General features: G+C 43.9%; 1 protein-coding gene across 3 annotated transcripts in view, besides 2 other annotated features; it reads right to left on the bottom strand.

The window, feature by feature from the left end:
- ZNF480 (zinc finger protein 480) overlaps positions 1-23,489 on the bottom strand; it is a 28,754-nt gene extending 5,265 nt beyond the window's left edge. The window contains exons 1-4 of one of the 3 annotated variants that reach the window (NM_144684.4): positions 23,435-23,489; positions 20,174-20,264; positions 6,379-6,505; positions 4,696-4,824 (exon numbers count right to left, since the gene is read on the bottom strand). In NM_144684.4, coding sequence (NP_653285.2) covers positions 4,696-4,824; positions 6,379-6,505; positions 20,174-20,245 — 328 coding nt within the window. In that variant the 5' untranslated portion in view covers positions 20,246-20,264; positions 23,435-23,489. The remainder of the gene's footprint in view (positions 1-4,695; positions 4,825-6,378; positions 6,506-20,173; positions 20,265-23,434) is intronic. The other 2 variants (NM_001297624.2, NM_001297625.2) reach the window with 2 other exon arrangements.
- Positions 23,258-23,307: an enhancer, noted in NCBI's record as "active region_15045". NCBI's record gives its function as "activates an Ori minimal core promoter by ATAC-STARR-seq in GM12878 lymphoblastoid cells {active_cell/tissue: GM12878}" and the evidence as "EXISTENCE:reporter gene assay evidence [ECO:0000049][PMID:35858748]".
- Positions 23,378-23,427: an enhancer, noted in NCBI's record as "active region_15044". NCBI's record gives its function as "activates an Ori minimal core promoter by ATAC-STARR-seq in GM12878 lymphoblastoid cells {active_cell/tissue: GM12878}" and the evidence as "EXISTENCE:reporter gene assay evidence [ECO:0000049][PMID:35858748]".

The raw sequence follows: 23,810 nt of genomic DNA, 5'->3' as shown, positions 1-23,810 counted from the left end.
AACATGCTCAGCTAATTTTTGTATTTTTAGTGGAGATGGGGTTTTACCATGTTGGCCAGGCTGGTCTGGAACTCCTGACCATGATCCGGCCACCTCAGCCTCCGAAAGTGCTGGGATTACAGGCGTGAGCCACCACATCCAGCCTCAGCAAGTTTTTTCTGTGTTCTTTTAGAGACAAGGGCTCGTGATATTGCCTAGACTGGTCTCGAACTCCTTGGCTCAAGTGATCCTCCTGCCTTGGCCTCCCAAAGTGTTGGGATTACAGGCATGAGGCACTGCACCTGGCCCTTGACAAATATTTAAAGCAACTGCCTTAAGATTCTTAATGAGCTAAAAGATATCAAGGAGAGATAGACAACTAAATGAAATCAGAAAAACAATACATGAGAAGGAGGATATTAAACAAAGGAGGAAACAAAAAACATTCTGGAGCTGAAACACAATAAATAAAGTAAAAATTCATTAGGTGCTCAACAGCAGATGGATAGAGCACCAAAAAGAATGAGCAAACTTAAAGGTCAGTTATTCAAAAGTATCAGCTCCACCAGGCACAGTGGCTCACGCTTGTAATCCCAGCACTTTGGGAGGCCAAGGCAGGAGGATCACTAGGTCAGGAGTTTGAGACCAGCCTGACCAACATGGTGAAAGCCTGTCTCTACTAAAAATACAAAAATTAGATGGACATGGGGGCATGCACCTGTAATCCCAGCTACTCAGGAGGCTGTGGCAGGAGAATCGCTTGAACCTGGGAGGCAGAGATTGCAGTGAGCCAAGATGGAGCCATTACACTCCAGCCTGGGCTACAGAGCAAGACTCTAATTTAAAAAAAAAAAAAAAAAAAAAAAACACAGTATCAGCTACAAAGACCAAAAACAAAAAACAGAGAAGAAAAGCAAATAAACGCTAATACATTTTTCGGATGCTCTCAAGCACAACAACATACAAATTATTAGAGGTTCACAAGGAGAAGACAGAGGATCAGAAATTGCAACTGAAGAAATAATGTCCAAATAATTGTCCAAATCCCAATTCTGAAGAAAGACCTGAATATACAATTCAAGAAGCTTGACCATTCAAATTAAAATGAACCCAAGGACATTCACACAGAGATACATTATAAGCAAATTATCAAACATCAAAGACAGAGGAAGAATTTTGACAGGAGCAACAAAAAAGATATTTGCCATTTAGAGGAAAAGGTATAAGACTATGTACTTTCTCCAGCGGAAACTTTGCCTGCCAGAAGGCAGTGAGATGACATATTGAAAGTGCTTAAAATCAACCAAGAATACTATATTTAGCAAAAGTCACCTGCAAAAATAAAGGAGAAATTTAGATTTTCCTCGATAAAGAAGAGCTAAGAAAGTTCATTACTACTCTAGACCTGTCCAACAAGAAATGCTACAGGGAGCCCTTCAAAATGAAATAAAAGGATTCCAGACAGTACTGGTAACCCAAATGAGAGGATAAAATTCTCCATTAAAGTAAAAAATGACCCAGGTGTGGTGGCTCACACCTGTAATCTCAGGGTTCTGGGAGGCCGAGGCGGGCAGATTGCTTGAGGTCAGGAGTTTGAGACCAGACTGACTAACGTGGTGAAACCCCATCTCTACTAAAAATACAAAAATTAGCCAGGCATGGTGGCACATGCCTGTAATCCCAGCTACTCGGGAGGCTGAGGCAGGAGAATCACTTGAACCCAGGAGGCAGAGGTTGCAGTGAGCCAAGATCTCACTGCTGCACTCCAGCTTGGATGACAGAGCGAGAATCCATCCCCCCATGCAAAAATGAAAAAAAAAGCAAGAATAGAGAAGCCAGAAACAAACCCTCAAATACTTGGTAGAATAATGTTCAATCAAAATGTCAAGACCATGTAACAAGGAAAGGACAGTCACTTCATCAAATAGTGCTGAAGAAAAAGGATGCCCACAAGCAAAGGAATGAGGCTGAACCCTTACTTTACACCCCATGCAAAAATTAACTTAAAGTCTATTCATGACCTAAAACGATAAAACTCCTAGAAAAAACCATAGGTAAAAAGCTTCATGAGATTGGATTCAACATTTCCCCAGATATAAAATTGATAGTACAGGAAAGAAGGTAAATATACACACGATGCACTATGACAAAATTGAGAACTATTGTGGATAGAAGAAAACAATTACCACAATGTAAAGAAAACCTACCATATGTGAGAAAATATTTGCATATCATATCTGTGATAAAAACTTAATATCTAAAATATATATAGGCCGGATGTGGTGGCTCATGCCTGTAATCCCAGCACTTTGAGAGGCTGCAGCAGGTAGATCACCTGAGGTCAGGAGTTCAAGACCAGCCTGGCCAACATAGTGAAACCCCATCTCTATTAAAGATACAAAAATTTAGCCAGGCATGGTGGTGTGCACCTGTAATCCCAACTACTTGGGAGGCTGAGGTGGGAGAATTGCTTGAACCTGGGAGGCGCAGGTACCAGTGAGCCGAGATCACGCCACTGCATCCAGCCTGGGTGACAGAGCAAGACTCCGTCTCAAAAAATAAATAAATAATTATTTAAAATAATAAAATAAAAATATATAAATAAGTCCTACAAAGCAAAACAAATAACGAATTAAGAAATGTGGAAAGAAATACACATTTTTCCAAAGGTGATATACGACCATATAAGAAAATGCAAAATATCACAAATCATTAGAGAGAAATGCAAATAGAAAACTGAATATTTTTCCTCACACCAATAAAGAATATCACCTCACACCCATATAGAATACGTTTTGTCAAGAAAAGGGAAAAAAATGAAACACCAGAAAATCACAAGTGTTGTCGAAAATATGGAGAAATAGGAGAATTTTGTGCCACTGTTGGTGGAAAATTGAAATGGTGCAGTCACTATGGAAACAAGTATGACATTTTCTCAAAGAATCCAAAATCAAATGATCAGTATAGGCAACAATTCCACATCTGGGTATAAAGATAAAAAAGAAAAAGGCCAGGCGCACTGGCTCACACCCTTAATGTTACTACTTTGGGAGGCCTAGGCAGGCAGATCACCTGAGGTGAGGAGTTCGAGACCAGCCTAGTCAACATGGTGAAACCCTGTCTCTACTAATAATACAAAAATTAGCTGGGCGTGGTGGCACACACCTGTAATCCCAGCTGCTCAGGAGGCTGAGGCAGGAGAACTGCTTGAACCCAGGAGGTGGAGGTTGCAGTTAGCCGAGATTGCACCATTGCACTCCAGCCTGGGCAACAAAAGCGAAACTCCATCTCAAACAAACAAATGAAAAATAAAATGAAAGTAAACACAGCATCTTGAAGAGATACTTAAAAACCCATGGTCAAGGCCAGGCACGATAGCTCACGCCTATAATCCCAGCACTTTGGGAGGCTGAGGCAGGTAGATCATGAGGTCAGGAGTTCAAGACGAGCCTGGCCAATATGGTGAAACCCTGTCTCTACTAAAAATACAAAAACTAGCTGGGTATGGTGGTGTGCACCTGTAGTCCTAGCTGTTTGGGAGGCTGAGGCAGGAGAATCGCTTGAACCCAGAGGGTGGAGGTTGCAGTGAGCCAAGATCACGCCACTGCACTTCAGCCTGGGCGAGACAGTGAGACACTGTCTCAAAAAACAACAACAACAAAAACCCATGTTCATAGCAGCATTATTCAAAAATAATAAAAAGGTGGGCGCAATGCAGGTGTCCACCAATGGATGAATAGTTAAACAAACTGTGGTACAGACAAATAGAAGAATATTATTCAGTCCTAAAAGAATATACAAATTTCTTGATGTGCTACAAAATAGATGAACCTGAAAGACACTACGCTAAGTGAGATAAGCCAGTCATAAAAAGACAAATACTGTGTGATTCCATTTGAGTATCCAAAATACTGAAATTCACACAAACAGACAAGAAAGCGGGAGGGGAGACAGTGAAATTGTCGGGGGAATTAGTTAAATATTCCTGGTAAATCAATTAAATCTAAATTCGAAATAAAAAAATAAGACTAGGCATCATGGCTCATGCCGGTAATCAGAGTACTTATGGAGGCTGAGGCAGGAGGATTGCTTAAGCCTAGGGGTTCAAAATCAACATAGCAAGACCCCTGTATCTGAAAAACAAAAAGAAGCTGGGCGCGGTAGCTCATGCCTGTAATTCTAGCACTTTGGGAGGCAGAGGCAGATAGATCACTTAAGGTCAGGAGTTCGAGACCAGCCTGGCCAACATAGTGAAACCCTGTCTTAACTGAAAATACAAACAAAAATTAGCCAGGCATGGTGCAGGTGACCATAATCATAGATACCTGGAAGGCTGAGGTAGCAGAATCCCTTGAACCCGGGAGGCAGAGGTTGCAATGAACTGAGATAGCGCCACTGCACTTCAGCCCGGGCAATAGAGCAAAATTCCATCTCAAATAAAGGAAAGGAAGAAAGGAAGAAAGAAAGAAAGAAAGAAAGAAAGAGAAAGAGAGAGAGAGAAAGAAAGATCTCCAGTCAAATAAACAAAAAAATTATTTATTTATTTGAAACTGAGTCTCGCTCTGTCTCTCAGGCTCTGTTTCATGACAGTGAAACTCCATCTCAAAAACAAAACAAACAAAAATACAAACATAAAAAACCAAAACTAGACAAAACAAAACAAAAAAAAAGCCCAAACAACAGCATGGCTTCCACCATGCCCATCTGAGCTCTTACCTGTGTTCACACCTTTGATGCACTCCCTCCCATCTGAATTTTTTGCTATTTTCACTTCACTCTCACCAGACCAGGGCTCCCTCCTTTGCTCCAACATGGAGTTAATATTCAGGTCAGGAAGAGAGATTCCTGTTTGTAAAAAAAAAAATCAAAATGTGCTGTAGCATCTCCAAAATCCAAGCCCTATGTGTAGGAAGGAGACAGGATATCACAAATGAATCAAGAATAATATTTCACAAATTCATCCATAGACTGCCTCCTTCTGAATGCTTAGGGAATATTATAACATGCAGACATCAAGCCCCTTTCCAAGAACTACTGAGTATAAAGCACAGGAGTAGAGGCTGGGCGTGGTGGCTCACACCTGTAATCCCAGCACTTTGGGAGGCCGAGACGGGTGGATCACCTGAGGTCGGGAGTTCGAGATCAGCCTGACCAACACAGAGAAACTCGGTCTCTACTAAAAATACAAAAAAAAAATTAGCCAAGCATGGTGGCACATGCCTCTAATCCCAGCTACTCGAGCAGTTAAGGCAGGAGAATCATTTGACCCCAGGAGGCGGAGGTTGCAGTGAGCCAAGATCGCGCCATTGCACTCCAGCCTCCAAGAGTGAAACACTCTGTCTCAAAAAAAAAAAACAAAACATAAAACAAAGCACAGGAGTAGAAAACAGGGAAGTGGGTATCTGAAAAGTTTGCCATAAGGTTTTATGCAGCTGGGTGCGGGGGCTCATGCCTGTAATCCCAGCACTTCGGGAGGCTGAGGCAAGTGGATTGCTTGAGCCCAGGACTTTGAGACCAGCCTGGCCAACATTGTAAAAATGAAATATAGAAAAATTAGCCAGGTGTGGTGGCACGTGCCTGTAATCCCAGTTACTAGGGAGGCTAAGGCGAATTGCTTAAGCCTGGGAGGCAGAGGCTGCAGTAAGCCAAGATCACGTGCCCTCCAGCCAGGGCAACAGAGCAAGACTCAATCTCAAAAACAAACAAAAAAGGTTTTATGCATACTTCCGCCCTGGTACCACCCAATGATGTATAATGAAGGGGACAGAACATCTGAAGAAAAAGGACATTTCAACTCCAGAAAACACTATGGAGCTTTTCATTTCTGAGTCAACAAGGTTTTTAGTTTTTTGTTTGTTTGTTTGTTTTTTTAATGAGACGGAGTTTCACTCTTGTTACCCAGGCTGGAGTGCAATGGTGCATTCTCGGCTCACTGCAACCTTCACCTCCCGGGTTCAAGAGATTCTCCTGACTCAGCCTTCCAAGTAGCTGGGATTACAGGCTCCCACCACCATGCCCGGCTAATTTTTGTATTTTTAGTAGAGATGGGGTTTCACCATGTTGGCCAGGCTGGTCTCAAACTCCTGACCTCAAGTGATCCTCCTGCCTTGGCCTCCCAAAGTGCTGGGATTACAGGTGTGAGCCACGGATCCCAGCCTGAGTCAATAAGGGTTTTTTTGGTTTTTTTTTTTTTTTTTTTTTTTTTGGGACGGAGTTTCACTCTGTTGGCAGGCTGGCAATGACGTGATCTCGGCTCACCAAAACCTCTGCCTCCCAGGTTCAAGTGATTCTCCTGCTTAATGTCAGTCAAACAATGCAGGGGCTCCCAGGAGGCACACAAGGGAAAATGCTGAAATAACCAAGGGCAGATCCCGGCTTCTGCAGGGGCATGATCCTCACCCAGGGAGACCAGGTTCCTGTAGTTCTCCAACATCACATCCTTGTATAAAGCCCTCTGTGCAGGGTCCAGGCATTTCCACTCCGCCTGAGAGAATTCTATGGCCACGTCCCTGAATGTTAAGTGTCCCTAAAATGAAAACCACATTTCACCAACAGGATATGTAAAGGGTATTAATCTTCACTCAAAATGAGAAGGGAGTTGTAAAGATTAACTGGATTGAAGAGAATGTTCTGACGAATCCCCATTAAGGTATCTGTGATGTAGTTATGTGTCTGTAAATGTGTTTTTTTTCTTTTTTTTGAGACAGAGTCTTACTCTGTTGCCCAGGCTGGAGTGCAGTGGTGCAATCTCGGCTCACTGCAACCTCCGCCTCCTGGGTTCAATCAATTCTTGTGCCTCAGCCTCCCAAGTAGCTGGGACTACAGGTGCACACCATCACACCTGGCTAATTTTTGTATTTTCAGTAGAGATGGAATTTCACCACGTTGGCCAGGCTGGTCTTGAACTCTTGTCCACACATCTCAGCCTCCCTAAGTGCTGGGATTACAGGTGTGAGCCACCACCCTGGCCTGTGAATTGTGTTTTATTATACTTTTCCAAAAGAAGTTATATTTTAAAAATCAAAATAGATTTCTCATTTTGTGGACATATAAGAAATGCAAATAAAAAATTAACCCATGGTTATCTCTATAGAAGCATTAGCTATTATTTTTGACACTCCAAGTCATATTCAGTATCTACCTGATCTGAATACCTACCAATATCACCACCACTACAAGACAAGTGGTGTCTTTGGAGATGACAATGTCCACAGTGGCTTCAAAAAAAAAAAAGAATTATAGGCCAGGCATGGTGGCTCACGCCTGTAATCCCAGGACTTTGGGAGGCTGAGGTGGGCAGATGACCTGAGGTCAGGAGTTAGAGACCAGTCTGGCCAACATGGTGAAACCCCGTCTCTAATTAAAATACAAAAATTAGCTGGGCGTGGTGGTATGCACCTGTTAATCCCAGCTACTCAGGAGGCTGAGGCAGAAGAATCACTTGAACCAGGAAGGCAGAGGTTGCAGTGAGCTGAGATTGCACCACTGTAGTCCATCCTGGGGGAAAAGAGTGAGACTTCATCTCACAAAAAAAAAAAAAAAAAGAGAAAGAATTATAGGCTGGGCGCGGTGGCTCACGCCTGTAATCCCACCATTTTGGGAGGCCGAGGAGGGCAGATCACTTGAGGTCAGGAGTTCAAGACCATCCTGGCCAACATGGTGAAACCCCACCTCTACTAAAAATACAAAAATCAGCTGGGGGTACTGGTGGGTGCCTGTAATCCCAGTTACTCAGGAGGCTGAGGCAAGAGAATTGCTTAAACCCAGGAGGCAGAAGCTGCGATGAGCCAACATCACACCACTGCACTACAGCCTGGGCTACAGAGTGAGACTCTGTCTCAAAAAAAAAAAGAATTATAAAACTGGGATGATAACAATAGCAATGACTGAAGCTTTTGAACACTTTCCATGTGACAGGCACTATTCTAAATGCTTTACATGTACTAACTCCTATAACAACAAAAGCCCATGAAAGAAAGACCTGTCCCTGTCTTACTGAGAAGACAACTGTGTCACAGATACCCTAAGAAACTCGCCCCAGGTGTAAGGACTAAAAACAGCAAAGTAAGCACCAGATCCCAGGCGTCCGGGCATTAGAACCAAACCAAAAGAATCAAACAATGAACAGATCAGCATCAAAAGTAAATTGACAATTACCTAAGAAAAAAGTTAAAACAAGTTTAGGGATAAAATCATGGACCTTCATAAAAGGTCATTATGGCTGGGCATGGTGGCTCATGCCTGTAATCCCAGCACTTTGGGAGGTCAAGGCGGGTGGATCACAAGGTCAGGGGATCAAGACCAGCCTGACCAACGTGGTGAAGCCCAGTCTCTACTAAAAAATACAAAAAGTAGCTGGGCATGGTGGCACGTGCCTTTAATCCCAGCTACTCAGGAGGCTGAGGCAGGAGAATCACTTGAACCTGGGAGGCAGAGATTGCAGTGAGCCGAGATTGCAGTGAGCCAATATCGCGCCACTGCACTCCAGCCTGGTGACAAACAGAGACTCTGTCAAAAAAAAAAAAAAAATTATATATGAGTACACACATGTATCCCATGTTACTATTCACAGCCATCAACTCATTAACATGATGGTGTACGACAATTTCCGAGGTCATGGAAAATATTTCAGATGTAATTTCAACTGTTAAAAAAATACATAAAAATGATGACATGTCTTTAATAAAACCATAGGCTTGCTCATCTGTGCAGTCATGAACACGCATCACGGTCCACACTTATATATATGTACACTTAGACCCATATACACTAGCACACATATACACTTATACACATCAACTGAAATAGGAGTTGTCTGTCAATAACCTATTTTTTAGATGACATTTGTCATCACTTTTTTTTTTAATTTTTAGAGACAGGGTCTCACTATGTTGTCCAGGTTGCATGGAGGTGGCTTATTCACAGTGTACTATGGCCTTGAACTCCTGGGGCTCAAATGTTTCTCCCTCCTCAGCCTCCCAAGTATCTGGAACTAAAGGTTTGTACCACTGCACCCACCTGTCATTGTTATTTTTGCTATGTACATTTCAGCATGTTTACAACAAAAATGTATAAATTGTACTCAATTGAGTTTATAAACATTGCTGTATATTAAGCCATTAAAAAATGATAGACCATGAAAAAACACAGAAAGTTGAACTCCAATCTCTATTAAATACCCAGATTCAAAAATATAAATGTAGGCTGGGCATGGTGGCTCCACCTGTAATCCCAGCACTTTGGGAGGCCAAGGTGGGAGGTCTGCTTGAGGACAGGGGTTTGAGAACAGCCTGGGCAACATAGAAAGATCCCATCTTTATTGATATAAAAAATATGATTATATATAATATTTTAAAAAATTGAGATGGGGTTTCAGTATGTTGCCTAGGGTGGTCTCAAACTCCTGCATTCAAGGGATGCTCCTGCCTCAGCTTCCCAAGAAGCTGGGATTCTACACACATGTGATCAACCCTGACTTACATAAATATAATAATTATGTCCATAAAATTTATCTATTTGGTATTTACAAAAGCCCAATGGGGTTTATCAATATATTCCATTAATAAAACATTAATACATGACAGAAAATTTATTAATATGATATAATAATTCAACAAAATAAGTCACAGAAAATATCTCAGCAGTATACATCTTTTTTTTTTTTTTTTTTTTTTGAGGCGGAATCTCGCTCTGTCACCCAGGCTGGAGTCCAGTGGCGTGATCTTGGCTCACTGTAAGCTCTGCCTCCCGGGTTCACGCCATTCTCCTGCCTCAGCCTCCCAAGTAGCTGGGACTACAGGTGCCCGCCACCATGCCCGGCTAATTTTTTTTTTTGTATTTTTAGTAGAGACAGGGTTTCACTGTGTTAGCCAGGATGGTCTCGATCTCCTGACCTCGTGATCCACCCGCCTCGGCCTCCCAAAGTGCTGGGATTACAGGCATGAGCCACCATGACCGGCTAGCAGTATACATCTTAAGAAATTACTAGATAATTAAAAACAAGGACAAAAATAAAATTTGAAAACAAAAACAACCATATCATTAAGCAAGAACGTCTCATGAAACATGATAATCAGCAGTAAACATGGCAGACATTTCCTTGACTTTAAGGCAGGGAAAAGGGGGCTGGTCTGTGCTGCAGCCAATCACCACTGCACAGGATGCCTGGGCAGGGGCCAGAAAGAGAGGTTAAAAAAAAAAAAATTAGTTGGGGTTGGAGGCAGGAAAAAGCTGGATTTAAAAATGTATATAATTAACAAAATTATTTTAACCAAGACAAAGAATGTCATTTTAACATATTAACTAATAAGAATATATTAGCCTGGTGCAGTGCTGGGATCATGCCTGTAATCCCAGCATTTTGGGAGGCCAACGCAGGCGGATCACTTGAGGTCAGGAGTTCGAGACCAGCCTGGCCAACATGGTGAAACCCCATCTCTACTAAAAATACAAAAAATTAGCTGGGCATGGTGGTGGGTGCCTGTAATCTCAGCTACTTGTGAGGCTGAGGCATGAGAATTGCTTGAACCCAGAAGACAGAAGTTGCAGTGAGCTGAGATCCTGCCACGGCACCCCAGCCTGGGTGACAGAGCAAGACTCTGTCTCAAAAAGAAAGAAAGAAAAATGAATTAAAAGAAGAAAATAAATTTAAAAAAAAGAAAAAAATATATTGAAAAAAATTTCCTTCTTTAGCAGCATTATTTATAAAATGACACATACAGGAAAGAAACATCTGACATCTCCCTTAGGAAATGGCCCCTAACTAGAAGACATTCCAGACCTGTGTTAGAAATCTGCAACTCTACTAAAAGAGTAATGTCAGCAAGACAGAGGAATAGGAAGCCCCGGACCATTTTGAATCCATGTGGACACAAATTAAACAAGAATACGTGGGCCAACTGACTTTTGTGAGAAATCCAGAAGCCACTCAGGAGGCTGCACCCAGAGATGCACCAGTACCAAGTCAACCTACTGGGAGCTGAGTGTGAAAATGTGACACACGCCCACCAGAACCCCTGCCCAGGCATGACATGCCATCATCCAGAGGATACCACAAACTCCAGATATCTCCTGAGAGAGGAAAACAATGGGAATGTCTATCCAACCTTCTGACTTTTCAGGGAACTGCCTAAGGGACAAGTTTCTGTCTTGTCTGAACATAAGCATTGAAGTAACAGGGCCCCAGGTCAGGAAGCCACTGAGAACAAAGGCACCAGTATAAACCAGAGCCAGCAGTAATGCAGGCAGACACCAGGTGACAGTGCAGACCCCAGCTTCCTATTGCCCCACACAGGCTGAAGAGCAGGTGCAGAAAGGGACACTCCTCAGCAGAACCTGGTCACCCCCTTCAGTGAGGAGGTAACAAGCAAAGCCCAGAGAGGACACATCCCAGACAAGGCGAGGGACCTCCAGAGTCTCCAGCTGGGCTGACCAGAGCGCATCTTCCCTGAACCAAGCCAGACACTAAAAACAGAGAGGTGACTGATTGTTAATTCAGAGAACGTTCACATGAAGTTGTAAAGGAGTAAATTTTCACAACTTACAGAATAAAGTATCATAAAACAATCACTGAGAATTTTACTTAAAACACCACAATGCTGTATACATATAATTCTACAGGACTTGCTCTCACTCCTGACAGAGGTGACAGGAGTGGGTCCCAGTGAGACTGAGAGAGGGTGGAAGGCTCCCTCCCATAACAATTATTTACATGTCACATAGACATTTAGGACAGGGAATGTTTTGTATTTGATGGCCTAACCTGTACATTTGGAGTTTTCCTATAAGACAAATTTATACATAATTTGATGTTGAAAAAATGATAATAATAATTCGTGGACAAGAATATGATTTCCTCCTCTCTGACAAAAAAAAAAATCTGCTCCAATCTCTGAGCAAAATTATCACATTTTTTGCTTAACACAGCTGGTGCAGGAGACTCCCCAAAGGAAAATCGGTCTCTGTGAGAGGCACATGCTGAGAATGATGAGAGAACGTCCTCCCTGAACCAAGGTAGACATAAAAAACTGGGAAAGGCGTTTAGCTTCAACTGTAGTAAAAATCAGGCAGGAAGGCTGGGCACAGTGGCTCACGCCTATAATCCCAGCACTTTGGGAAGCTGAGGTGGGTGGATCACCTGAGCTCAGGAGTTCAGGACCAGCCTAGACAACATGTTGAAACCCCATCTCTAATAAAAATACAAAAATTAGCTGGGCGTGGTGGTGGGCACCTGACATCCCAGCTACTCGGGACACTGAGGCACAAGAATTGCTTGAACCAGGGAGACAGAAGTTGTAGTGAGCCGAGATTGCGCTACTGTACTCTGGCCTGGATGACAGAGCAAGACTCGGTCTCAAAAAAAAAAAAAAAAAGAAGAAAAAAATCAAGCAGAAAACGTTTTCCTTCCTTCACTCCTTTCCTAGAATTTACTAGGTGCTTGTGCATAATACATGACTTCCACGTGCAGCTTCTGGTCTACAGAGAGGTGACGGTGAAGTCAGATGTGGCCCCTGAACAATCCCTACTGCCCAACAGCTCTAACACCATGGGGCCCGCACCCCATCTCCATCCATGCTAGGGAGTGAGCCCTTCCCAGAACCATGCCCAGTGAAGCCTCATCCCCAGTTCATGTCACTGGGTAACGGGAGATGGAATCTAAGTGAGGTTAGAAGGACTGCGGTGCTGGCAACAGGCCCTAAGCCTGTCATAAACAGGCTTTAAAGAAGCTGGCCATAAATAGGATTTCTGCAGCAATGAAATGTGCTCATGATGGCTATGACGCACACTGCTAAAAGTTGTTGGTTTACTGGAGAAGGGCAAGGAACACCTGGCCTGCCCAAAGTAGAAAACTGCTCAAACCACAAACAATAGGATGAGTAGCCTGTGCCTTAACAACACGTTTTTGCTGCAGATAATCAGCCAGAGCCTGTTTCTCTAATCCTTGCTAAGAATGTTTTGTTTCCTGTAAGGAATGCTTTTAGTTAATCTATAATCTATAGAAACAATGCTTATCACTGGCTTGCTGTCAATAAAATGTGGGTCAAACTCTGTTCACAGCTCTCAGCTCTGAAGGCTGTTGGCCCCCTGATCACACTTTACAGTCTATTCTTGTGTCTGTGTATTTAATTCCTCTAGCGCCACTAGGTTAGGGTCCCCACGACCGAGCTGGTCTGAGCAAGTGGCGCCTAACATGGGGCTCAAACCCTTGTCGAAGGGTCACCAGAGTGACGGCTGGAGAACGTGGAACTACACTGGAGAACACCCAAGTACTCTTAAGCAATCCCTGCGGTGAGTAAGAAGGGGAGCTCAGAAGCATCAGGGTAACAATGGGACAAGGGTCGAGCAGACACGAGGCTTATTTGAGTCTCCTTCAGCAGCTCCTCAGAAAAGGAAAAGTAAAGGTTAGCACTAGCTGACTCATGCAGGTTTTTAGTGTGGTAGAGAAATATTGCCCCTGGTATCCGGACTGAGAAACTATGAATGTAGAGGTCTGGGAAAAGGTAGGCAGCACACTGAAGAAGTCATATAAGGATGGCGCTGAGGATATTCCTATAACTGTCTGGTCAGTGTGGGCTCTGGTTCATTCCACCTTGGAGCCTTTCCACACAGATGATAAGGAAGAGGAATCAGAGGAAGAAGGGGAGTGTAATGAAGTACAGAAGAAGTGACAGAGAAGGTTTCCTTGCCAGCTAAAGCAGCAAAGGAGGGAGAGGTTTGTCCCTACCCGTCTACACCCCCTCATCATTTTGAAGAAAAAGAGTGGCCTCACCCTCCAGGTCTTTCTTTTCCAGAGGACACTGGACAAAAAGTAGTTGCCCTAGTGACTGTTCGAGCAGCGCCTCAAGCAACTGCTCTCGGTTCTATTCAGGCAGGAATCCAGCAAGCTAGATGAGAGTGTGATATGGATGCTTGGCAGTTCCCTGTTAGAATACACCCACCTGATCAACAGGGGAATATGATGGCTACATTTGAGCCTTTTCCTTTTAAAATACTTAAAGAATTTAAACAAGCTATTAATCAATATGGACCAGGTTCTCCTTTTGTAATGGGACTGTTAAAGAATGTTGCTGTCTCCAGTCAAATGATTCCTACTGACTACAATGCACTTACTTGAGCTTGTCTAACTCCTGCTCAGTTCTTACAATTTAAAACTTGGTGGGCAGATGAAGCTTCCATCCAGGCTGCTCACAACGCCCAGGCCCAACCTCAAATTAATATAACTGCAGACCAACTTTTGGGAGTCGGTGGCTGGGGTGGTTTAGATGCACAAGTGGTTATGTGGGATGATGCCATAGAGCAGCTTAGAGGAGTGTGCATTAGAGCTTGGGAAAAAAATCACTTCAGGCAGGGAACAATACCCTTCAAGTGCTGTCAAGCAGGGACTGAAAGAACTGTATGCAGATTTTATAGCTAGATTACAGGAGTCTCTTAAAAAGGTGATTGCAGATTCAGCTGCTCAGGACGTAGTGTTGTGGTTATTAGTTTTTGACAATGCCAATCCTGAGTGCCAAGCCACTCTGTGACCTATTAGGGGAAAAGCACATTTGGTTGACTATATTAAAGCTTGTGATGGTATTGGAGGTAATCTGCATAAGACTACTCTGCTAGCCCAGGCAATGGCAGGACTGAAAGTGGGTAAAGGAAATACTCCACTTCCTGGAGCTTGTTTTAACTGGGGGAAGCATGATCATATTGAAAAAGAATGTAGAAAAAACCAGCAAGTCAGGCTGCCAGTTGGGGGAAAAAAGAAATCTGCTGACCCTGAAATATGTCCAAAATGTAAAAAACGAAAACACTGGGCTAATCAGTGTCACTCTAAGTTTGATGAAGATGGGAACCCGATTTCAGGAAACGCCATGAGGGGCCCGTCCCAGGCCTCATTCCAAACCGGGGCATTTCCAGCTCAGGCCACTCCCTCACCCCCATACAATACCTGTCCCCTGCCATAGCTGGTAGTAGATTTATGCTGCACAAAACCTGTGAGCTTTCTGCCTGAGGAACCCCCGCAAAAAGTGCCAACAGGAGTCTGTGGCACCCCTTGCCAGTGGGGACAGTAGGATTACTTCTAGGTAGGTCTAGTTTAAATTTAAAAGGAGTGCAAGTACATGCAGGAGTCATTGATTCAGATTACAATGGGGAAATTTAAATTGTTATATCTACTTCTGTTCCCTGGAAAGCAGAGCCAGGAGAGCCCATAGCACAGCTCCTGTGCTACGAACAAGAGGATTTGGAAGCTCCTGTGCTATGAACTAAATGAACAGGAGGATTTGGAAGCTCGAATAAACAAGGCAAAGCAGCTTACTGGGTGAATCAAATTACTAATAAACATCCTACCTGTGAAATAACTATTAAGGAAAAAAATTTAAAGGATTGGTAGATACAGGAGAGGACATTTCAATCATTTCTCTACAGCACTGGCTGTCCGTGTGGCCAATTCAACCCACTCGATTTAACACAGTTGGAGTTGGCATAGCCCCTAAAGTATATCAAAGCAGTTATATATTGCATTGTGAAGGACCCAATGAACAATCTGGGACTATTCAACCAATTGTAACTTCTGTTTTTTGTTTTTTGTTTTTTTGAGACAGAGTCTGGCTCCATCCCCTAGGCTGGAGTGCAGTGGCGTGATCTCAGCTCACTGCAAGCTCTGCCTCCCAGGTTCACGCCATTCTCCTGCCTCAGCCTCCCAAGTAGCTGGGACCACAGGTGCCCACCACCATGCCCGGCTAATTTTTTTGTATTTTTAGTAGAGACGGGGTTTCACCATGTTGGCCAGGATGGTCTCAAACTCCTGACCTCGTGATCAACCCACCTTGGCCTCCCAAAGTGCTGGGATTACAGGCTTGAGCCACCACACCCAGCCAACCAATTGTAACTGCTGTACCTATAAATTTATGGGGAAGAGATTTATTACAGCAATGGGGAGCACAAGCGTTCATTCCAGAACAATTATATAGCCCTCAAAGTCAGCATACGATGCAAGAGATGGGGTATGTGCCTGGCATGGGATTAGAAAAAAATTTAAAAGGGTTAAAGAAACCACTTCAAGCAGAAGGACAAAATTCCCACCAGGGTTTAGGATATAATTTTTCATGGCAGCCATTGTTAAGCCTCCAGAACCTATACCTTTAAAATGGTTAACAAATAAACCAACTTGGATAAAACAATGGCCGCTAAGTAAAGAGAAACTGGAGGCTTTAGAGGACTTAGTTACTGAACAATTAGAAAAAGGACACACAGCTCCAACATTTTCCCCCTGGAATTCTCCAGTCTTTGTTATTAAGAAAAAAATCACATAAATGGAGCATGTTGACAGATCTTAGAGCCATTAATTCAGTTATACAACCTATGGGGACATTGCAGCCAGGACTGCCTTTTCCTGCTGATTCTAAAAAATTGGCCTTTAATAGTCATAGATTTAAAAGACTGTTTCTTTACTATCCCCTTAGCTGAGCAAGGCTGTGAACGGTTTGCATTTATAATTCCTGCGGTAAACAACCTGCAGCCTGCTAAGCGTTTTCATTGGAAAGTGTTGCCACAAGGCATGTTAAACTGTCCAACAATTTGTCAGACTTATGTAGAACAAGCAATTGAACCTACTCATAAAAAATTTTCAGTGTTATATTATTCATTATATGGACGATATTCTTTGTGCTGCCCCCACTCAGGAAATATTACTCCAATATTATGATCACTTAAAAAATTCGATTTCTCATGCCAGTTTAATTATAGCTCCTGACAAAAATTCAGACCACTACTCCTTACTCCTACTTAGGGACCTTAGTAAATGACACTACAGTAGTGCCACAGAAAGTAACCATAAGGATCAATTGAAAACACTGAATGACTTTCAAAAATTACTAAGGGACATTAATTGGATACAACCTGCTCTAGGCATTCCTACCTATGACATGAGTAATCTATTTTCTATCCTTAAAGGAGATCCTAGTCTCACTAGCCCTCAGCAATTAACAAAGGAGGCTGAGGCAGAGTTACAACTCATTGAAAAACAAGTACATAAAACCTCAAATAAATAGAATAGATCCAGAAAAGGCTTTAGATTTATTGATTTTTCCAACTTAGCATTCACCTACTGGTGTTACTGTCCAAAAGCAGACTTGGTAGAATGGCTTTTTCTTCCACATATGAATTCATGGATTCTAATTCATTATTTGGATCAAATTGCTACTCTGATAGGGAATGGGAGAATTTGAATTGTTAAACTGCATGGATATGACCCTGAAAAAATTATTGTCCCTCTTACAAAGGCACAAATACAACAATCCTTTATAAATCATCTTACTTAGCAAAACCACTTAGCTGATTTCGTGGGAGTGCTTAATAATCACTTTCCAAAAACAAAATTATTTCAATTTTTAAAACTAACTAGATGCTCCCTAGAATGACTAAATTTAAACCAATTAAAAGTGCTGAAAATGTTTTTACAGATGGGTCTAGTAACAGTAAAGCTTCTTACTCTGGATCAAAAACTAAAGTCTTCCACACGCCCTATACTTCAGCTCAAAAATCGGAGCTTGTAGCTGTAATTAAGGTACTGACTGCTTTTAAGATGCCTGTCAATGTAATTTCTAATTCTTCATATGTAGTCCATTCCACACAATTAAAAATGCTCAGTTATGATTTCAACAGATGAACAGCTAATGACTTTATTTACCCAGTTACAAACCACAGTTAGGAATAGAATGCACCCTTTTTCATTACTCATATTAGAGCTCATACACCCTTTCCAGGACCTTTAACTGCAGGGAATCAAATGGCTGATCGCCTAGTTGCTACTGCAATATCTAATGCCAGACACTTTCACAATTTAACCCATGTTAATGCCTCTGGTCTAAAACATAGATACAGCATTACCTGGAAAGAAGCTAAATCTATTATCCAGCAATGCGCAACTTGCCAATTGGTGCATTCCTCATCTTTTACAGGAGGAGTTAATCCTCGAGGATTGGAACCTAATTCTGTTTGGCAAATGGATGTCATTTATGTTCCTTCTTTTGGTAAACTGGCTTATGTGCATGTATGTGTAGATACCTTTTCTCACTTTGTTTAGGCTACCTGTCAAACGAGGGACTCTTCTGCCTGTGTTAAATGGCATTTTCTGCAATGCTTCGCAGTGATGGGCATTCCAGCTTTTATTAAAACAGATAACACCCAAGGCCGTACTAGCCAAGCTCTAGCTACATTTTTCTCTATATAGAGTATTAAACACATTACTGGCATCCCATATAATTCACAAGGACAAGCCATTGTGGAAAGAATGAATCTCTCCCTAAAACAGCAATTACAAAAACACAAAGGGGGGAACAGTGATTATGGAACTGCAATTATGCAACTGAATCTAGCATTATTGACTTTAAATTTTTTGAGCCTGCCTAAAGGCCAAATGCTATCAGCAGCTGAACAGCATTTACAGAAATCAGCGGCAAAGACAGAAGCAGAACTGGTTTGGTGGAGAGATCCCATAACAAAAAGTTGGGAAATAGGTAAAATAATAACTTGGGGTAGAAGTTATGCTTGTGTATCTCCAGGCCAAAACCAGCAGCCGATTTGGATACCATTAAGACACCTGAAACCTTATCATGAGCCAGATGCTGAGGAAGAGATTTTGGGAGGAACCCGAGGACCCCCCAGTTGCAGCCATGTCGAGACTGACAATAAGGCCTCCTTTTCTGTTTGGAGTAAGTGATTTAAAACTTGATCTCCCTAATCATCATGTGACTTGTCAAGAATGTACATTGTTTTCTTGAATTCTTCCCTGTATAATACTCATCATTCTATTTTAGTGGTAAGAGCCTGAGAAGGAGTATGGATACCTGTAAAGCTTTCCTGTCCTTGGGAAGCCTCTCCTTCTGTGCATACATTACTGAAATTCTTCAAAAGAGTTTGAGGTACTCTCGGTGTTTCATTGCCACTTTAATTTTAATCATTATGGGATTGATTGCTGTCACAGCTACTGCCACGGTAGCTGGAGTTACTTTGCATTCCACAGTACAAAGAGCAGACTACGTAAATAATTGGCAGAAAAATTCTACTTTGCAGTGGAATTCCCAAACTAACACAGACTGAAAACTAGCTAATCAAATCAATGATCTCCGATAAACTGTAATGCGGCTAGGAGATCAAGTAGTTAGTCTAGAATATAGAATGCAGATACAATGTGATTGGAATACTTCTGATTTTTGCATTACTCCTCATCTGTATAATGAAACAGAGCATGAGTAGGAAAGAGTTAAGAGACATTTAAAGGGTCATACTGGAAATTTATCTTTAGATATTACAAAACTGAAGGAACAAGTATTCCAAGCCTCTCAGGCACATCTGATGCTAATGCCAGGAACTAAAGAGCTTGAAGGAGCTGCAGACAGATTAGCAGCTATTAACCCGTTAAAATGGATCAAGACAATTGGAGGCTCCCTGATTTCAATGATGATTGTGCTTTTAATCTGTGTTGTTTGTCTTTGTGTAGCATGCAGATCCAAATCCCGAATCCCGAATCCTGTGAGAAGTAGCCCACCGTGACAAAGCAGCCTTTGCCTTTGTCACTTTGCAAAAACAGAAAGGGGAACATGCTGGCAACAGGCTTTAAAGAAATTGGCCATAAGCAGGATTTTTGCAGCAATGAAACGTGCTTGTGATGGCTATGACACACACTGCTAGAAGCTGTTGGCTTACTGGAGCAGGACAAGGAACACCTGGCCTGCCCGGAGTGGAAAACTGCTCAAACCACAAACAATAGCATGAGTGGCCTGTGCCTTAACACGTTTTTGCTGCAGATAATTAGCCAAAGACTGTTTCTCTACTCCTTGCTAAGAATGTTTTGTTTCCCATAAGGAATGCTTTTAGTTAATCTATAATCTATAGAAACAATGCTTATCAATGGCTTGCTGTCAATAAATATGTGGGTCAAACCCTGTTCGCAGCTCTCAGCTCTGAAGGCTGTTGGCCCCTGATCCCACTTTACACTCTATTCTTGTGTCTGTGTCTTTAATTCCTCTAGTGCCACTAGGTTAGGGTCCCCACGACCAAGCTGGTCTCGGCACTGAGGGAAGGCATAGGTAAGCGTGAGCAAACCTGTCAGGCAGGACACTTCAGACTCAGAGAAGACTCCCAACTCGAAGGCCCAGCGTTTCTGAAAGAAAGGAGACAGAACAATCCACCGAGAATATCATCTCACCTGAGGAAGAGCCATCCCTGACTCCTTTGCTTTCCTCTTCCTTCTCTTCTGGGCTTTTTCATCACACAGCATGACTCTTTAGAAGTCAATCCTAAATGTCAAAAATATGCTGTTTAGGGCTTAGAATCAACACACCCTTTTCCTGTGCCACAATCACACACACAGGTTAGACCTCACCCTGCGGAAAGATGTCCTCTGCTGCCCACTGCACCAGAGTTGATGCAGAGACAAGAAACTCCTACAGGAAGAACAACAAGTGAGTTTTTTACTCGTCTTCAGAACCTGCTCCCCTCCTAGAGATGCCCACACGCACGCTGCAGCAGTGGGGAGCTGGCCTGGTCTAAGCTCCCCTTCAGGGCCAGACCCAGCCCTGACCAAACCCCATGCAGAGCACAGCCCCTCCTCTCCTCTCTATGGATCCCAGGCTCATGTAATCCCTCAGAAATGGAGGACACAGAGCCTTGGTGCTCAGCACCAGAGACAGAACACACTGGAATCCCCGTATCCATGGGGAAGATGTCCCAAGACCCCCATTGGATGCCTGGAACTTCAAACAGTACTGAACTCCATTTATTCCACCCTGGCCAACATTGTGAAACCTCGTCTCTACTAAAAATACAAAAATTAGCTGGGCGTGGTGGCACACACCTATAATCCCAGCTACTTGGGAGGCTGAGGCAGGAGAAATGCTTGAAACTGGGAGATGGATGTTGCAGTGAGCTGAGATCATGCCATTGCACTCCAGCCTGGGCAACAAGAGTGAAACTCTGTCTCAAAACAAAACAAAAGAAAAAAAAAATCAGGGTATCCCAAAGCCCCTTCTTTTGATTAATTTGCTAGGAGGGTTCTTCCATCGGGCTAGTCATCTGTATCTTTTGCAATATTCTTCATAGCAAATGGGTAAAACTAAGCAAAATGCTTCCTTGAGTTCTGTGAATGAGGCTAACAAATTAATAAAATCTGAGCAAAGGGTCAAGGGAATCTTCAATTTTTAGATGTTTGGTTGAAGTTCAGGTCCCAACCAGGAACTTACAACCAGCACGTGAAGTAGCGGCAGCCTTGTGGAACTGAGCCCCCAACCTGTGGGATCTGATGCTAACTTCAAGTAGACAGTGTCAACTTGACTGAAATTACGGATCACCCAGGCGGTGTCTGACGAATTGCTTGTTGGTGGGAAGAAATCCCCACACATTTTGTTCATCAGATATGAAGCATTCTGTGTTGAGTGTTCACTATTGTGTTGACTGCAAGAGTAGGAAAAACACTTTGGTTTTCCTGCTATCTTTTACACTCGCCCACACCCTACCCCATCCCAGGAAAAGGAAAGTGGGTGACCCACACCTGAATGACTCAAGTCACTGACCTGTGCCTGAATAGGGAATGTGAGTGGAAGCTAAAGTCTGATGCCAAGAATTATAAAATGCACCAGCCTTACAGACAGGAGTTTTGCATATCCATTTTCATCTGTATTTTTAAAGTATATTTCATATTATCAAATTATAAATAGATAAATCAATGTCACAACTTAATCATAATATCCAATCAACTCACCGTTCATCTGCACCCAGGGTTCCCTCTTTTCTGGGTACTGTGTTTCCCTCCCTCATTCTGTACGTATCTCTCATTCTCACCTTCTTTCTCTAGCTTTTTTCCCCCTTTATTTTTCCCCTAAGATTCTGCTCATTTTGAGCCCCTCTCTTCTCCTGATGTTTCTCCCCTTCTTCCTTCTATTCCTTCTCTTCCACCTGTTCTGCTCCATTCTGGCAACTTGTTTCACCCCTCTTCCAAACTTTCTGCTCAATCTTTGATCATCCCATTCTCCACCTATTTGTCTCTTTTTTTTTTTTTTCCCTGAGACGGAGTTTTGCTCTTGTCGCCCAGCCTGGAGTGCAATGGCGCAATCTCAGCTCACTGCAACCTCCGCCTCCCGGGTTCAAGCAATTCTCCTGCCTCAGCCTCCTGAGTAGCTGGGATTACACGCGCGCGCTGACGCCCGGCTAATTTTTGCATTTTTAGTAGAGATGGGGTTTCACCATGTTGCCCACGCTGGTCTCAAACTCCTGACCTCACGTGATCCACCCACCTTGGCCTCCCAAAGTGCTGGGATTACAGGCGTGAGCCACTGTGCCCGGTCTTGCCTCTTCCCCTGACTCTACTCCCCCTCTGCTCTCTCTGTTAAATCCCTTCTTTTCTGTTACACCCCCTTGTCCCCACTCTCTGGCACCCTGAGATCCCAGGCCTCCACCTGCTGTGGTTCTCCCTCTGCTCTCGTTGTCACCAGCTGACTCCTCTTGCTGTCCCAGCACCACGCTGCTCTGTCTGCCCTGGCTCCAAATCCCTCCCCCTCTCCCCCACTCTCAAACTGAGGAACTTCCCACTTTGCTGCCCCTCTCACTATCTTGCTGTCCTTCATCTCTCCGGAGATGGAACTTTTCTCTGCATTTCTCCAGTTGCTTTTTTCCCCCTGCTACTTTCTCGGCTTCATTCGCTGTCTCTGCAAATCCTCCATCCACTCTCTACTTTGCCATCTGCTTACGGCTCTCCCTCAATCTTCTTTTCTCCTTCAAAATTTTTCTCTTTCTTCTCCCTCGCTCTCCGTCTCTCTTTCTGCACACATTCACATGGAAGGAATTGGGATCCGATGTCCACAAGCAGAACACCTTTTCAGTGGGGTGTTATTTGGCCCGCAAGAACACTGGATGTCAAGAGACAGAGTAAGTCACCTCCCCACACGCAGGGTTAGGAGAAGCGGTGTCTGGGAAGAGGAGGCCTGGGGAGTAGCGGGGCCCCGTATCAAGGAGGGTAAAGGTAGGGTCTGGATCAAGAGATGGGTGGCGTCTGCAGAATCCCAGCACTGGGCAGAAGACGCGGCTTCTCCTGGATTGAGATTGGAGCGCTGTGCTCCAGGGCCAACAAAGGCGAGGCTTGGGGGACCGCATAGACCGGAATCCGCCTAGCGGGGGAGGACTTTACGCTGTGCGGGGCGGATGTAAGCATCACTGAAGGACTTGAAACAGGAAAACTCCGCGACAGGAGGTGACTACATGGCCCTGTGGCAGAAGGACGGGGGACAGGACCCGCCGCCGAGCGATTTAAACACACAGGGAAGCGACCGCCTGACTCTCACGGAGACGCCTGAATTTGGTCGGGGTAGAGGGAGCGGTGCGAGGATTTCAAGGTCTGTGTGGCCCCTCAGATCCCGGGTACAGAAGCGCGGGGGAGTTGGGAAGCGCAGATTAATTTACACAAAGGGAAACTCACGCGCCGCGGCGTGACCTTCACTCCACGCGATCCGCTTCCGGGTTTGTGGGAAACTGCGCGCGCAGCGGAGGGGTCCGAGCGGGGCGGGGGCGGGGGCGGGGGCGGGGGCGGGGGCGGGGGCGGGGGCGGGGGCGGGGGCGGGGGCGGGGGCGGGGGCGGGGGCGGGGGCGGGGCGGAGTGGGGCTTGCGCTTCCCTCCGCCTCGCTTCCAGTGCCTCTGTTTTCCGGGTTTTGCCGGGGAGACCTGTCAAGGAGACTGGAGCAACTCAGCTGTCTCGGAACTGTACTCTTGCCGGGACTGAGCAAAGTCGGCTAATGATTAGATCCAGGAAAATTCCTGCTATTAAAGTTAATCTTAAGCCGACCGTGCGGTCGGG

Source organism: Homo sapiens, chromosome 19 (assembly GCF_000001405.40).
Source record: "Homo sapiens chromosome 19, GRCh38.p14 Primary Assembly".
NCBI classification, from domain to species: Eukaryota; Metazoa; Chordata; class Mammalia; order Primates; family Hominidae; genus Homo; species Homo sapiens.
This window is presented reverse-complemented; position numbering and strand designations above follow the sequence as displayed.